Below are 18,199 nucleotides of genomic sequence, written 5' to 3'. Positions count from 1 at the left end.
CCCTGCTCTGAAATCCTGGGTGACGCTTGATGCCAGGCTTTGCCAACAGAGGGTGCTGGAGGGACTGCAAGCATTCCTTTTCTTCTCCAGCATGTGGTTTTCCAGGTGGCACAGCCGGTGGGTCGGCATGCAGGGCCCCTCCTGCTGACCTCAGAGGACTTTGTGGATGGCCACTCTGTCCAGCACTGGCAGGTCTTGCGTCCCTGCGGCATGTACACCCGCTCCCTGCGGTCGAATCTCAGCAGCAGGCAGGCTGCGCTGCTCTCAGCTCCTTCCTCATGCTCCTGCGCCAGCGGCTTGCTGCAGCTGCCCCTCTGTACACATCTCCTTTCAGCCCCTCTGGTGAGTTTTACATGTCCACTTGACTGCTGAAGGGATGCCCAGATGGGTAGCTAGTAAAACATTATTTCTGGGTTTGTCTGTGGGGGTGTTTCTGGAAGACACTGGCATTTGAATCAGTGAACTAAGGAAAGAAGAGCCGCCCTCTTAAGCCTCTTAGGCATCATCCAATCCACTTAGAGCCTGGAGAGAACAAAGAGGTAGACAGAGGAAGGGCAAATCCCCTTTCCCTCTTCATGAGCCAGGATCCATTTCTCTTGCCCTCACACGTCACTGCCCCTGGTTCCCGGGCCTTCAGTCTCCCACTGGGACTTTACGCCACTGGCTCCCCTGGCTCTCAGGACTTCGGGTTTGGGCTGGAACTCCACCACCACTTTCCGGGGCCTCCAGCTTGCAGAAAGCAGATCATGGGACTTCTAGGCCTCCATCATTGCATAAACAAATCCCTATAATAAATCTGGTTCTATATATCTCTCTCTAACCTATGGGTTCGTTTCTCTGGAGGATCCTAAACACCTCTCCAACAATTCTATGAAATTTCCGCCATTCGAATTACCAGTGTGGCTCTGAGCCCTGATGGTACCTTGCCTGATTCGAGTTCTAACATTTCTTTCTACTTTCAAGTTCTAACATTCTTTCTACCAAGCATATGCTTTTTTTTCCCCCAATGGGGAGCAGAATAGAGTTTCACTACTAAGTTACTTAGATTACATGAGTTCCCATGTTTGGTTCTAAAAGTTTCTAAAAGTAAAGCAAAACTTACTCTTAAGTTTAGAGTAAAAAGCTAATTCACTGACTGATGAGCATATACTAGTTTTTAGTGTTTTGAGATCAATGGTTTATATATTATTCCTATTCAAAAGCACCATCTAGTCTGTTTTCTGGGTTTTTGTTTTTTGGGGTTTTTTTGGTCTGATTTAGAAATCTGATTCAAACTAGCTAACACCGTTAACCATGCAGCTACTATGAACAATTTCTCCCTCTTTCTTCTCTTATTTAAAACAAGTGTAACCTGGAACACTCAGATAAAAGTATAGAAATGGGACAGATGCATGCGCTACATGGGCCAAGAGTTCTGTGACATTTTCCACGTTTGTGTTTTAAGTGATGGACTAAAAAAGCCTTCCAGTTATTAAGTCTAATTACTCTTCTTGAATGTTAATTTGCCATTAAAAGACATTTTTTCAAACAACCTAAAATTTCCACCACTGGTCATGAGTAGGAGAATGGACCCAGACGGACGTGCAGACAGTTCCTTTTAGCAGCGGTCTCTATGACAGTCAAGTTTGAAAAACAGTGCCAGGGTCTAGAAACCGCAGAGCGAGGGCCATTCTGTTATTTACAGCAGTGGGGCGAGAGTGATGAGCAAAATAAGCCTCCAAGGCCATCGTTTCCTACTGATGGGGAGGAAGAGCAGGGCCCTGGGCATCAGAGAACAAGCTCTCTCTGGCTCCCAGGCCACTGGCCTGGAGATGCGGTCGTAAGACAAAGGTCTTTATTTTGAGATCTGAACTGTACTTCTATTTCAACACTTAACCAAAGACTCATTCTCTTCAGCTCTAAAAGTGGTGACTAATGCCTGCCCTGCAGTGATGTGGGGAGCCTAGGAGCTAGGTTCTTAGGCAGCGCCCCGCACTTCAACATGACTGAATAATGGCCTTCTCTTGGTCTCAGGCCCACCATTCTCGTGGGTGAAACTGGAGGTTGGCTGACTGGGCGAGGCCACTGCTTAGGACCTTCCTCCTGTAAAACAGGGGGAGTGGCCTCAGCTCTCCCAGACCTCATAACACAAGTGTTACACTTTTCCTCTTACTTCTGTCCACACTGGTTAGTCTGTAAATAACTGACAGCCCAAGTTTCATAAAATTATGGACCTTGACTGGTTTCCTAAAGAGAGCAAACTCTTAAAACATGCACGGCAAACAAAGTATTTTAAAAATCAAAAAGACTTAGGAGAGCAAAAAAAAAAAAAAGCACGCTACGCCATGAGACACATAAGCTATTTTTAAAAAGAAAAGTTTTAAAAAATATAATTTACACCACCAATATAAGGACAAAGGTACCCCCAAAATTCCTCCTAGTACAAAAAACACACATACACACATAGAGTTGGATAAAATATCTTTTAACTACTTTTAAAAATACATCATTTACAAGCTAGAATGAAGAGAAGTCATCAGGAAAATAAAGATGAAAACTAAAAAAAAAAAAAAAAAAAATCAGGAAAGTGAGCCAAGTCTGAAGCCAGGAGATATCCCGAGGCCACGTGCTGATGCTGGACAGGGACACAGAGCCACAGTGACGGGGCTGTAAGGTCAGATTAGAGCCCACGCAGACAGGCAAGGTCAGGGGCTACACTCTCAAGTGAAAGGGCAACCAGGGAACAGAGCCCACACCTGTCTATCGTCTGTCAATCCTGTTACTGGAGAAAGTTGGTGAGAGAATCCTGAAAGAATTCTCATCCATGCCCCAGGCTTCAGAGCAGGATAAAATCTGCTTCACTTCAAGGCAGATGGAGGAGAATGGGGACAGCAGAGGAGGTGCAAAAATTGCCCAATCCCTCAAATCTTGAGATAATAGCCAAGAGAAAACTAAGTGACTGGAAAGGGATGATAAATGGGCAAAAGCTGCAGGACCAGGTGGATGAGGATCTGTGCAGAGGAAGCAGAGGATAGCAACAGGGTGTCTGATGGATGGGAGCAGAAGAACCCTGACACTGTCAACAGGCACCTCACAGGAAAACTCAGGGAGCCAGCTGAGAATAGCAGCCAAAACTAGAAGGGTCTTTGCACACTTCCATCTATAGGTGGATGCAAGTGATCACAGCCAGGTCCGAAGGGACTGCAGCAGTCTAAGGCTGAAGGGCTCTTGAAACTAGCCAGCCAAAGCCTCCTTCTACTAAGAAAAACTGCTGGGAACAGAACAGCAATGGAGCAGGAAAGGGATAGTGTGGGGTGGGGGACGCAATGGAAAGAGAAGGTCTAGCCCAGATGGATGGGGAAGGAGAGGAATGGGAGGACAGCCCTTGAGCTCAAAAGGTACCAGGCCACACTGTCAAGTACTTAGTGAGATGCCGGAAAAGAGAATCCTGTGGCCTCTGAAAACCTCTCCCGCCCACCCTCCCTGCACAAGTGCACACAACCTAATTTCAAATAAAAAGAAGAACAGAAAAAGGATGGTGGCTGACTCTCATACAAACTTATCTCAAGGGAAAAAAAAAGAACAAAATAAACTGAATAATGACCCTAAAAGCAATGAAAGCACAACAGAAAGACACGCTCATGAAACAGACAAGCTATACTCACCCTAGTATTTCAAAACTAAAAATATCAACTTTCTGTAATGGCAGGAAGGGTGAAGAGGTCACACAAACACTCACAGATAACATTTATAATAACTGTTTTTTGTTTTTTTGAGGTAGGGTCTCACTCTGTCACCCAGGCTGGAATACAGTGGTGCAATCATAGCTCATTGCAGCCTCAACCTCCTGGGATCAGGTGATCCTTCCACCTCAACCTCCCAAGTAGCTGGGACTACACACACTGCCATCACACTCAGCTAAGTTTTTTTTATTTTTAGTAAAGACGGGGTCTCACTATGTTGCCCAGGCTTGTCTCAAACTCCTGGCCTCAGGTGAGACTCATGCCTCATCCTCTCAAAGTGCTGGAATTACAGGTGTGTACCACCATGCCAAGCTAATTAGTGATTTTTTTTTCAATGATCTAAAGGTAGTATTTGCAAAAGCCAGGAAGAGAGTTAAATCTCAAAAACTGTAACTAGAAGGGTTAAGAATTGTGAGTTTGTGGCATCTTGGCTCAAGGCACTGCTCAACTCCCACAGCTATTGCTGCAAAACATGGGGGCAAACAAAAGCCAGTTCCTCACCAACTAAAGGTGCCAGATATCAAAATCTGGAATTGGGGAAGCAGCTAGAAATTTAAAGCACTCTGACAGCACTAGAATATAGAGGTGACACTCAAATTCAGAGCATAAGATGCTGAAATCCCTAGCTGACAGCTGAACTACATACTACATATGTGCTGAGGAAACCACAAGCAGCACGGTGAAAAAGCAGTCAGAAACCAGAAAGCAATATTTTTAAAAAAGAGTAACATGGAGCCAAATCTGTGAATATGATGCTCTTTCCCAACTATGCTCAAGCTAGGGCGGCATAAAGCTTGAAATGTCAGAGTACAGAGCTCAAAGCTGGTGGAGTGCTAGAAACTAGGGGAATCCCCAGAATAAAGACAACCACAGAGAAAAGTCCATCTCTACTCAGATCCTTAGCCAACTTTCAAATTTTGCAGACACAGGGGAGACTCACAGGGTGCCACACTAAAACCACCACCAGTGCAAAGACCTAAGAGCAGAGGAGAGCTACAAGCGGCTGCATATCACAGGAAAAACAAAGTGTGTAGTTTGACCAAGCAGTTTATTAACAGTCTGCTACAATAAAAACACAATAATCCTCAGAAGAACACAAGAGTTCAGACTCACTACAGCATATGTCCAACTTTCCACTAGACAAGAAAAAAATAGGAAATCTTGACCCTCTGCAGGTAAAATGATAGTCAACAGAAACTGATTCCAAGTGAGCCGAAATGTTGGATTTAACAGACTTCAAACATTTATCATAAATATTTCAAAAACGTCTGAAAAACATGCCCAAAGAATTGAAGGAAAATATGGTATCAATAAGTGAACAGATATGGCAATCTCAAGGGAGAAAAATGAAACCAGAAAAACTAAAAGCCTAGATCTGAACAAAACATTTACTAAAATAAATGCATTAGACTGGCTAAGCAACGGATTGATGCTTGGTTCTGCCATCTGCAATGAACCTGAATACAGAATAATCTGAAGAACATAAAGAGAAAGAGATGAATGAAAAATAAGTAGAATTCCCAAAAATGTGACAACAGGAAGCAGTACCTTAATTGGACTCTAGAGAGAGGAAAGGAGGAAAAGACATCTGAAGACACAACAACTGAAATATCTCCCAAAAGCTCAATAAACCTCAAACAGAATAACACAAACAAAACTTCTTCTAGACACACCTTAGTCAAATGGTAGAAAGCCAAGGATAAACAAAATCTTGAAAGCAGCCAGAGAAAATGACGTCATAAACAGGAAAACAACGGCAACAATAACGATAAGAACAAAGACTTCTCCTTAGAAACTTTTAAGTCTGAAGACACTGGGACCACATATTCAAATTACTGAAGAAGGAAAAGGAAGAAAACCAGTCAACCAAGAATTCTAGTATTCAGAAGAAGTTTCCTTTAAAAATGAAGGTAAAATAAGGGCATTTTCAAATAAACTATTTGTCATTGGTAGATCTATAACAAGAAATGCTAAAGAAAGATCTCTAGTCCAAATGGAAACTACACTAGATGGCAACTTAGAGCTACAGGAAGAAATGAAGACAGCCAGAAATGGTAATTATGTGGATATATGTAATATCTTAGTTTTCTATAAAAGATGACAGCATAAAGCAAAAAATACAACACTACTGATGGGTTTACAAAGTATATAAATGCAACAACTGTGACAATAATACTAAGGATAAGTAGTGGAACTGGAAACACATCATTGAAAAAATTATATGTCTTATCCAAAGTGATTCAATATTAAAGAAAAAGCTAAGATGCATATAGCTAGAAAACCAACAGAAGAATTAAAATTAATAAGAAATTTTGGTTAACACAAAATCAGCAAAAGAGGAGGAACAAAAGCAAATAAAATCCCTTCCCTAAGAAAAGCAAAAAATGATAGACCTAATATAACCATATTAATAATTACTTTAAATGTAAATGGATTAATTTCAATTAAAAAGCATGGACTATCCGATTATTTTAAAAAGGCAAGAACTGACTATATTCTGGTTTCTAAAGAACAATTTTAAATATAAAGACAGAAACAAACTAAAAGTAACAGACTGGAAAAAGATATACCAAAGCTAGAATGGATACATTAATGTAAAACAAAGTAGACTTCGAAAAGTATTACTAGAAACAAAAAAGACGTTTCATAGTGATTTTAAAAGGAAAATATAACAATATTATAAATATACATCCATCTAATGACAGCTTCAAAATACGTGAAACAGAAACAGAAACAACCAATGCACAATCGTATTTGGAAATTCTAACATATTTCTCAGTAATTGATAAAATTGGACCAAAAAACAATAAAACAAAGAGATGAGAGATCTTGGCTGGGCGCAATGGCTCATGCTCTGTAATCTCAGCACTTTGGGAGCCGAGCAAGGCAGGCAGATCGCCTAGCTCAGGAGTTCAAGATCAGCCTGGGCATATCATGAAACCCCATCTCTACAAAAACTAGCTGGGTGTGGTGGCACACACCTATAGTCCCAGCTACTTGGGAGGCTGAGGTGAGAGGATCATCTGAGCCTGAGAAGTGGAAGCTATGCTGAGCCATGATCACGCCACTGCACTCCAACCTGGGTGAGTGAGACCTTGCCTAAAAAATAAAAAAATAAAAAAAAAATGGGAGACCTATGTGACCATACCAACTGTAGTTTAGCTGGTATTTATGAAAAGCTCCATCAACAACCAGAGAATTATATAATCTTTTCAAATACACACAGAACATTCACCAAGACAGACCATATACTGGGCCATAAAACAATTCTGAATAGATTCCAAAAAACTGAAATCTTATAGGAAATGTGCTTTGACTACAATGGAATTCAAAATCAACAATAAAACATTTAGAAAAACCTCAAATATCCACAATTTAACCTAATTCTAAACCCAGGGGTCAAAGAAGAAATCACAAATCAACCCAGAAAATATTTTGAACTGGATTCTAATGAAAGCATATCAAATTTTGATAGACTGAAGCAGAGCTGCAAGTAAATGTACAGCACTATATGCTCATGTAAGACAATACAGCAATGGCCTAAACTTCCACCTTAAGAAACCAAAACAGAAAAAGCAAATTAAACTGAAAGTAAAGGTAATAATAATAAAGAGCAGAAGCAAGTATCTGCTAATGAACGCAACATTTTAGATGAGGTAAATTCCTTTAAAGATACAACTTTCACAAAAACTGACCCAAGGAGAAATGTTAAGTCTAGCTTATGTTTAATTAAAGGCTGTGAATTCATAATCTAAAAACTTATCACAAAGAAAATCTTAGTCCCCAATAGCTTCACTGATAAATTTTAGTACATATTCATGAAAGAATCCAAACCAGTACAATACATTCAATTTGAGAAACAGAGAAAGTGCTTCCTAACTCCTCTTATGAGGCCAGCATTAACTGTGATGTGAAATAAGAAAATTATAGACTGACATACCTTATGAAGATAGACACAATTCCTCAAGGCACTGACATTTATTAAAAGATATGTTAACATCTTCAGATCAATTCATACTGAGACCAAAAGTATACCATATCTACTCTTAGACCCACTGTAATAAAACTACAGAACTATCAAAGGTAAGAAATCTTAAACTATCAGAAACTCAGATAACTTAGAAAAGGAGGACAGGAGACTTTTCATCAGCTCTAAGACTGATAAAAACGGTAAACCAATAAACTTATCTCCAGCTAAAATGTCATTACTAGTGACAATAGTGCAATTATCTTTAGACAAATGAATACCAAGAACTTATCCCCAAATCCTCACTAAAATAATTATTAAAAGATGTCTGGCAAGGCATGGTGGCTCATGCATGTAATCCTAGCACTTTGGGAGGTCAAGGTGGGCAGATTGCTGGAGCCCAGGAGTTCAAGACCAGCCAGGGAAACACGGTGAAACTCCATCTCTACAAAAATTACAAAAATTAGCCAGGTGTAGTGGCACACACTTACAGTCCTAGCTACCTAGGAGGCTGAGGTGAGAGGATCATCTGAGTCCAGGAAATCAAGGCTGCAGTGAGCTGTGACTGCGCCACTGCATTCCAGCCTGGGCAACAGAATAAAATCCTGTCTCCAAAAAAAGGAAGAAAAGAAAAAAAAAGATGTTCACTCCTGGGTATCATACTCAAACAACAACAACAACACAGAAAATACATGTTCATACTAAAACTTCTACATGAATGCTCATATTCATAATAGACAAAAAGTAGAAACAACTCAAATGTCCCACCAAGTGACGAATGGATAAACAAGTCACAGTGTATCCACAAAATGGGGTATTAATCAGCTACAAAAAGGAATGAGTCACCGATACATTCTGCAACACAAACCTTGGAAACATTCTGCTAAGTGAAAGAAGTCAGACACAAAATGTATGTTTCCATTTATATGACATGTACAGGATAAACAAACTCACAGACACAAAAAGTGGATTCATGGTTGCCAGGGGTCTAGAGTAAGATGGGAATTGACAGCTAATGGGCATGGAGTTTCTTTCCAAAAGGATAAAAATGTTCTGGTATTAGATAGTGGTGGCGGCGGCTGTACAACTTTGTGAATACACTAAAAACCAGTGAACTACATACTTTAAAAGGAGAAATTCTACGGTATGTGAACTATATCTCAAAAAAAAAAAAAGAAATGAAAAGAAAAGAAAAAGATGTAATTCAGGAAGAAAAAACAGCCCACGTAGAAGAGAAGGAATAAAGAAAACAGTAAGTTCTCAAATGAAATGTCGGGAAATTTAAGTAACCTGTGATTTTTAGAAGTATTATTGATGTGTTTTCTAAAGTTAAAATTAATCTAGTGGAGGGTAAGATTACAGATTAGAATGAAGAGTTAATCAGTGAATTTCCTTATTGTGTCTTCAAGAAAGATGGATATAAATTAAAGTAATATACATATTTCATTTTTGGTACACTGAAAAGAATTAAAAATTCTAGATACATGTCAAATAGGAGAGAGAATACATTCAAAAGGTGAAGAATGCCAATATCCTTGTCACATTCCAGGAGAAATTATTGAATAATTTAATCAAAATAACAGATAAGCAGAATTCAAAGAAACTAATGGCAACCACAAGGTCAGACACAGAATCTGTATAGTTCAACACAGCAAAGTAATAGCAAATCCATGTAGAAAAATCTCTCATACCAACAAGGTGCTAACACTAAAAGTAAGCCAAGAAGAATGATAAACAGCAAACACTAAGAATTCCAAACATTATAGTAATAACAAAATTAAACACATTAAACTGATAAAAGATACTACTGAAGTGTTAAAATCTAGTTATATGGTGCTCTCAAGACAGAGTTCCAAACAAAACCAAACTTTTTTAAATAAAAAGGGAAGGAAAAAGATTCAACTAGTAAATACTATCCAAAACTAGTTATTACAGCAACATAAACACATTTTAAGGGAAAAATTCATTAAGTGATGGGCACTACACCTTAATACAATAAACGATCATGAATTTGTATACATCTAAAGCCTAGGCTCAAAATATACAAAATATTTATTGGCAAACCTATAATCTTAGGAAACCAACTCATTTGTGCCAGTTAATTAAAAGATCGGGCCAGAAAACAATGAAGGGTATAGTAAATACTTCATAAAGAAAATACATTTGACATATATGTACATATATGAACCCTGAACAAATATTTAAATCTAATCCCAATATAAAATATTTTATAAAATCACAAGAAAAAAACTTTTCACCTTAGAAATGTAAATGTTCTCACATCAAACTAAAATCATTTTTTGGTTTTCATTTTTTATACTTTTTGGCCTTTTAGACCTATGAATAAATATCCTACTCAAAAAATAAGTGGGCCAGGCGCAGTGGCTCACACCTGTAATGCCAGCACTTTGTGAGGCCGAGGCAGGCGGATCACATGAGGTCACGAGTTCGAGACCAGCCTGGCCAACATGGTGAAACCCTGTTACATGGTGGTGCGTGCCTGTAGTCCCAGCTACACAGAAGGCTGAGGCAGGAGAATCACTTGAACCTGGGAGGCAGAGGTTGCAGTGAGCCTAGATCACACCACTGCACCGCACTCTAACCTGGGCAACAGAGCAAGACTCTGTCTCAGGAAAAAAAGTGAATGTATTTTAAATAAACAGAAAAAAAATCTGAAAGTGAAAAAAATGAAATTAAACTTACAGGATGCAGCAAAAGCTGCATTTAGAGGATAATGTTCATGAAAGAACAATACGAGCTCAATGTTCAACTCAATGAGCTATAAAAAGAACCAAATAACCTAAAGGCAGAAGGAAATAAAGAACCAGAAATAATGAAAGACAAGGATGCAACAGAAAGAACCGAGACAAAAACTGATTCTTTAAAAAAAAAAAGAGAAAAGAAATACCTCTAAGAGAAAAGGTACAAAAAGAATGAGGCATGCTGAATCACAGAGCCAGTATAGATGTTTAAGTATCCTAAGAATCTTCTAATATAAAAGACATTAAACCATAATTGATTCAAGAAATAGTACTCATAAATCAATAAGATCAAATTCTCGATGGAAAATAAATAGTTCACCTTCCATCCTAAAAGGCAGCAGAGAGGCTCAGATGATTTTTTAGGCAAGTAAAGCCAAAACCAGAAAAAAACAGAATTTCCAAAAATTCTAAAAACTGAGAAGAGAAAAAAATATTCAGTTGTGTCTTTCTCTTTCATGTGACTAATTATAACAATGATTAGGAAAAAAACTGTAGCAATATACACAAAATAATACATGTGACTAAGCAGAGTCACATTTATCCCAGAAATGTAAGGATGGCTCAACATCAGAAAATAAAAATAAGGGTAAAACAACAATCTGCAATAAATGCAGAAACATATTCAATAACCAAGATTTAAAACTCTTCACAAGCTAGTAATAAAACTTTAACCAGATTTTTTTTTTTAAAAAAGAGCATCTAACAAATATTCACAGCTTTTATTTAATAGTAAAATTTTACAGATCCACTCTTTTGGAATTAGAAATAAAACAAAAATGCTTGTTGTTACAACTTACATTCAACGTTGTACTTGACGGTCCTAGCCAATTCAGTACAAGAAATAACAGGTACTGCAGGAGTTCGAAAAGAAAAAAAAAACTATCCCTATTTGCACAAGATATAATTGTCTACATATAAATCTAAAAGAAATTACAGTTTTTCAAATACAAAGACAGTTTAACAAGTCTGCTAGATATAAGATCAGATATACATAAACAGCCTTTCTATGTACTGGCATTAACCAACTGCTTTTCCATCAACGAGACCAACAACAACAACAACAAAAACTCTAGTTTCTAGGAATCAATCAAGAAAGGTTATGCAAAACTTTCAAAAGGTTCATAACAAAACATTACTGAGAGAGACGAGATACGAGTAAGGGACATGCACCCCATGCTCTTCGATGCAATCCCTTCTGGCCATCTCAGGAAATCATTCCAGCCACTGTCCCTGCACTCTCTCTCTCCTGGCCCTCCCCTTCCCGAGCTCTTTCCCATCATCACACAACTACCATCATTCCTCTGTCTTTAAGCAAACAAACCCCGGAGCCTGCCCGGCACTCCCAGTTCTCTTTCCATGAAACCCTTCCGAGGAGTCGCCCATAATCACCACCTCTAAATCCTCTCTTCCCATTCTCTCATGAGCCCATGCCAGACTCCAGTCTCCATACTCCACTGAAAGAGCTGCTGCCAAGTGGCCTCCGCGCTGCCAAATCTAACAGTCAATTCTCAGTCCTCAGCAGCACCAAACACAGTGGGGCTCGTTCCCTCCTTGAGGTTTTCTTCCAGTGCACCACTATCTCTCGGTTCTCCTCCTCCTCTGGCCACGTCTCTTCTCAGTCTTCTTTACTGTGTCTCTTATCTCCCCGCAAGCTCTATGTGATGACGGCTACAGTGCCCCCAGGATTCAGTCTTCACATCTCTTCTCTACTTATGCTTACCTCCTGGATGATTAAATGCACTCATGGCTCTAAGAACCAAGTGTACTACATGGATAACTCCTAAAATTCTCTCCTGCCCTGAACTATAATCCTGTGTAGTTCACAGCTGCCCAGCCGCTCCCACTAGATGTCTAAAAGGGATCTCAAACTCGACACATCTAAAATCCAACTCCTAAATACCCACCAGCCCTCCAGGGCAATAAAGTCAAAGCTGCACCCTACACATGAACCCCCATCTCAGTAAATGGCAAGTCCACTCTAGTTACTCAACCCCAAAAACTCCAGGTCCCTTCTATTCCTTCTCATTCCCTCATATCCGATATCCATCCATGGGTAAATCCTGCTCAGCAATACCTTCAAAATATCCCCGAAATGCAATCACTCCTTACTACCTCCCAATGTCACCACCTGGGTTTCAAACCACCATCATCCTTTGCCTGGATTATCCTGCCAGCCTCCTAGTTGGTCTCCCGGCTTCCTTCTAAGTCTCCCTCCAGTTGCCCAGATAGCATCTGGCATAAACTTTAAAATAATTTAATTTTATTACATCATTCCTTCATGGCTTCCCATCTTACTACAAATAAAACTCAAAGTACTTCTTAGCACATTTATGAAGTCCTACAAGTACCCCCAACCTCATCCGCCATTCTCTCCCTTGGTTTCCAGAGACACTGGCCTCCTGCCGGCCTCACTCCAACCCCAGTCCCAAATGTTACCCTATCAATGAAGCTCTCCCTGATTGCTTCACCTAAAAATAACACCACCCCCACCAGCCACTAGCACTCCGATTCTCACTAGACTGTTGCCACCACTAGAATAAAAGCTCCTTGAAGGTGGGCGGGCAGTGGCTGAGCGGTCATGCCCGCTGCTATATCTCCAGTGCCACAGATTAATCCATGAACGCGATGCAGTACCAACCCCAGTTCAACAGGGTTTCTCACGTAATCAACATGATGATTCCAGGGTGTAGATGGAAGAGCACACCACCATGAGGAGAGAAATTTGCCAGAAAAAAAGAACACAATGAAGATACCTGGAAGGACGAGTTTCCAAGACTTACATAAAGCCATGCTAGTCAAGCCAGCATGGTATGAATCAGGAAAGACAAATACCAATTGAACAGAAGAAACTGCCCTACACATGGATGGAAACATCTATGACAGAGGTGGCAAATAATGGGGAGAGATGGTCTATTTACTAAACAGTGCCTATGGATTATCCACATTTTAAAAATAAGTTGAACCCCAAGCTCAGGCTACACTGTAAAAACAAACTATAGGTAAGTGAAAGTTCATACTGTAGAAAGCAAAATATTTAGATGAAAACACAGCAGACAATGATCTTGGGGTAGGAAGGATTTCTTAAACAAAAAACGAAATGAGAGAAGCCAGGCGCGGTGGCTCATGCCTGTAATCCCAGCACTTTGGGAGGCCAAGGTGGGCAGATCACTTGAGGATAGGAATTCCAGACCAGCCTGGCCAACATGGTGAAACCCTGTCTCTACTAAAAATACAAAAATTAGTCGGCCATGGTAGTGTGTGCCTGTAGTCCCAGCTACTTTACTCAGGAGGCTGAGGCAGAAGAATCACTTTAACAGGGAGGTGGAGGTTACCGTGAGCGGAGATCATGCCACTGCACTCCAGCCTGGGCAACAGAGTGAGACTCTGTCTCAAAAAAAAAAAAAAAATTTTTTTTTAAATAAAAATTTGACTACATTAAAATGTCAGATTTAATTTGGCAAGTGAAACATAAATGTATTATTGATTTTAAAAAGGACAAAGCCATATATCAGAAGATATTTCCAACGTATATAGTAGCAAAGATTAGAATCTATTATATACCAAGATCTCCAACAAATCAACAAGGAAAAGGCAAAATAAAAGTGATCCAATGATGTAAAATGTTTTCATATAAAATTCTACAATTCCTGGCCAGATGCAGTGGCTCACATCTGTAATCCCAGCACCTTGGGAGGCCGAGGCGGGTGGATCACGAGGTCAGGAGATCGAGACCATCCTGGCTAACATGGTGAAACCCCGTCTGTACTAAAAATACAAAAAAAAAAAAAAAATTAGCCGGGCGTGGTGGTAGGCGCCTGTAGTCCCAGCTACTCGGGAGGCTGAGGCAGGAGAATGGCGTGAACCCAGGAGGTGGAGCTTGCAGTGAGCTGAGATCGCGCCACTGCACTCCAGCCTGGGCAACAGAGCAAGACTCCGTCTCAAAAAAAAAAAAAAAAATTCTACAATTCCTTCCTATTAACTTATATTTATCTTCTACTAAATACCATGCATACGATTCTGTGTTTATGAAATAACTGTTAACTGTATACATCTACTCTTCTGTCCAGAATGGTCTTCTGTGGTTCGTAGTAGTTAGACCAGGGTGGTAGGGCATGGGACTTTTTTTTTTTCTTTCTTTGATGTTTCTTTGCTCAGTAAACACGCACAGGGCCCTTAAATTATATACGTCCCACACTAAGGTAATGAGACCATGTAAATGCTAGAAATTCAGAGGGCCTGTCTGCCAAGTGGATGTCAGCTAGTTCAAGCCAAGACGTCAGAGGCCAAACTCTCAGTTCAAAGAAGCTGTTGACAACACAGAATATCCTCAGAACTTTTTCTCTTTTAGGACTGCCCTCCAACACAGTTTTTTGAATATGCTCTATGGTGCCAAATCTTCACTCCCTAATTGAGAAACAGATTTTGACGTGAACTAAAGTACTTCAGTACTAGAAGTCTAGAGAGTGAGGTTGATGATACATTGTAAATCAAAAGTGGTTTCTCACACACAAAATGAAAGGTCTTCGTTAAAAATTTCATCACTAGGGCCCAGCCCTGTTCCCTCCACCTCACTGATTCTCAAAACATCCTGATTTCCACATCTCTCTGAGCCTATGGAATCGGTTATACAGTGAACAGTGGTATTGATGACAAAGATCATATGATGCTTTCTTGATTCTTAGGAATGTCAATGCTGGCCACTGTATATGAGTCTTCATGTTGGGTTTTGGAAAGCTTCCTCCCTTAATGTATTCTCCAAAGACGTTACACTTCGTTCTGTTTCTCTAAGAAACACTAATAACAGATATTAAATCATCAGTTTGTACCTACCTTTGGGGTCTAATTTTTTAAAAACTCAAATTCTCTTCCAAAGTGAGCACTTGCTGATGTTTGTTGGACCAAATTTTCAGTTAGCCTACTTGGACAAATCCAATCTCTGATATTTTCTCTGTTTTTATCAATCTTTTGTGCTTCATTACAGATACTTGCTTAACTTGAAATCGTTGATGACAGTCAAAAATTGCTTTCCATGATGATGCATTAAATACATTCTTCCTGCAAATTTGCTTAACCTCGTACAAAGCTTATTCATTTTCTATTCTGTAATTAGTCACTCATTTTTGGGTCCATACAAAAGATTTCCAAGGTGCTGTACACAGGAAACCTACTGGCTGCCTTTGAAATTACAGGTAATTAGCTGAGCCTTCCTATTCTACTTCCATAAGCTACATTACAAAATGTCATTGCTTTAGTCAAGTCTGCTCTGTGTTCTGCTTAATGATCCCATGTATGATGACCAGGGGAAAAGGCAGATGAGGAACTCAAATGTCCGCCTACTTTCCAAAAGCGCTTCAGAAATTCTCCTAACTCTAGTCCTCATACCAAGAAAAATGAGTTTGTTGTTGTTAAGGTCACTAGTATGTGTCTTGGAGAAAAATAACATCTAATGTTCTCAAGCAAACCCAAAACCACAGCAGTAACACCTCCTGAACTCTGACAAGCTTTTATACAGCATGCAAAAGGTCACTTACACATAGTATTAAGTCCCATTGTTAACTGCTCACTATACATTTGTTAAGTAAAAAGCTGTCTTCGTATTTAAAAGGTTTCATTAGTACTTTATAAACTCAAGGCTTTCAAATACCACCACCCTTAACAAACACTTACTGAAAGAGTAAATAGCTTCTTGCTAATACAGCATATATCCAAAAGAGATAACTGAGGAGAACAGCAAATCTTCCTATATGCTTGTTGCTTTTTATCATTATCAATATCCACACAACACCAGCCTAGCAAAACCCTGACAGGATGATGTCCTCAATGATGTACAGCAGGAGAGAAAACCCATTCTCCAGCAAGGACAAATAACCCACAGGGAAGGGGGAGCACAAAGGCATAAAGGGCAGCTTTCTGTCGTCTGAAAGGCGATTTGTTTTAGAGGAACAGGAGGATTTTATTGTTCACCTGATGTCTTTCATTAAGAACAGGAAACTACACTTCTCTGAATGGTTCAACTCCCCATTACTCCATGGAGTGCTGCGGGGGCCCTACCCAGGGGCAGGTGAGAAGAGTAACACCCAGAGTAGGTGGGAAAGAGCCAGATAGGGCCAAAGGCAGGAGAGCTAGGGAAACAGAGCAAAGTCATTTGGGAACAACGCTGAACCCAGAGTTCAGATAACTGATTCTACAACAATTTTTAGTGGCAGGTGCTTTCTGATGCACATGGCCCCTCAAAAGCTCACAGAGCACTGCAGAGCTCCTCAAGGACTGTACTGGGTAGCAGCCATTTAAGTTTGAATCACTGGAGTTCCTGCCCACTGGGAGTGGGGGAGATGCCTAGGGCGGGGAGGCTGCCAGGGCCAGGGAAACAGAAATAAAACCGGCCCAGCAAGACAGATGTGGTGCGGAGGGCCCACCGTGCCCAGAGACACCACTAGGGGAGAGAAGCGCAACTGAAACCCAGGAGCAGCCAGGCGCGGCAGGTCACGTCTGCAATCTCAGCACCTTGGGAGGCTAAGGAGCAGATTGCTTGAGCCCAGGAGCTCGAGACCAGCCTGGCCAACATGGCGAAACCCCGTATCTACTAAAAATACAAAAATTAGCCAGGCACGGTGGTGCACACCCATGGTTCCAGCTACTCGGCAGGCTGAAGTAGGCAGATCACCTGAGCCCAGGAGACAGAGGCTGCAGTGAGCAGAGATCATGCCCCTGCACTCCAGCCTGGGCAACAGAGCAAGACCCTGTCTCAAAAACAAACAAACAAAAAACACGAAAACCAGGAGCTTCTGCATGAAGCAGTATGGCTTGGCTATTCCCGGGACAGAATGTAAAGCCAGGAGGAGCAGCACCTGGCCCGCCATGTAGCTACAAGACAGGGAGGGCTCTAACTCACATAGCTTCACCTTGAGGGACAGGGCCAGAGGCTGGTCCACCTGGCACAATGGAGGAAGCAGCAACATCCTTCATCCCAGAACAGCAGAGCAAAGCCTGCGGGGATCCTAACAGGTGGGGTGGGAAGGGGGCTGGCTGTTCGACAGGCAGACCACAAATTCCGGAGAAACACGGGTCACACTAGATATGAATTACACACTTCTGCTGCCGAATGGTGGTGGGGAAGCACAGAAAGGATTGGAATTTCCATCCTTACAGTTCCCACCCCAGTGACCCAGGAGAGTGAGGGCTCAGGAATATGGTGGGGGAGGGGTGGTGTTTCAATCTTTGAGAGTTCCTGACCCACCTTCAGGGCCTAGGGACGTCCTTATTTGCCCCAAGGGTTCCTTTTCAAACTCTAAGGGAAGCACTTTTCTTCACAGAGACCTGCTCCACTACTGAAAAGCCTTTTTTTTTTTTTTTTTTTTTTGACAGAGTCTCACTCTGTCACCCAGGCTGGAGTGCAGTGAGGTGATCTCGGCTCACTGCTAACTCCACCTCCTGGGTTCAAGTGATTCTCCTGCCTCAGCCTCCCGAGTACTTGTGACTACAGGCACCACCACACTTGGCTAAATTTTTGTTTAGCAGAAACGCGGTTTTACCATATTGGCCAGGCTGGTCTTGAACTCCTGGCCTCAAGTGATCCTCCTGCCTTGGCCTCCCGAAGTTCTGGGATTACAGGCGCCAGCCACTACACCCAGCCTGAAAAGCCTTTTTAAACAGTTCACCAAACCCCAAGTCATGTCCCTTTCCTGCTACAGAAGTGAGCCACTGGAGACCCAAAAGAAGGACCCTGACCTTTCCTTTCAGTGGAATTA

At 41.0% G+C, this 18,199-nt stretch overlaps 1 protein-coding gene across 4 annotated transcripts in view, besides 2 other annotated features; it reads right to left on the bottom strand.

Moving 5' to 3' along the window:
* Window positions 1-18,199, bottom strand: part of CDYL (chromodomain Y like) — a 249,407-nt gene that overhangs the window by 149,253 nt on the left and 81,955 nt on the right. The gene's annotated exons all lie outside the window — the stretch shown is intronic.
* Window positions 3,882-3,931: an enhancer, noted in NCBI's record as "active region_23897". NCBI's record gives its function as "activates an Ori minimal core promoter by ATAC-STARR-seq in GM12878 lymphoblastoid cells {active_cell/tissue: GM12878}" and the evidence as "EXISTENCE:reporter gene assay evidence [ECO:0000049][PMID:35858748]".
* Window positions 17,024-17,568: an enhancer, noted in NCBI's record as "H3K4me1 hESC enhancer chr6:4788958-4789502 (GRCh37/hg19 assembly coordinates)". NCBI's record gives its function as "activates a minimal SCP1, AML or CMV promoter by ChIP-STARR-seq in naive H9 embryonic stem cells {active_cell/tissue: H9 hESC(naive)}" and the evidence as "EXISTENCE:reporter gene assay evidence [ECO:0000049][PMID:30033119]".

This window comes from Homo sapiens, chromosome 6, assembly GCF_000001405.40.
Source record: "Homo sapiens chromosome 6, GRCh38.p14 Primary Assembly".
Classification (NCBI taxonomy): Eukaryota; Metazoa; Chordata; class Mammalia; order Primates; family Hominidae; genus Homo; species Homo sapiens.
Note: the sequence above shows the minus strand (reverse complement) of the source record. Positions and strands in the feature narration are given on the sequence as shown.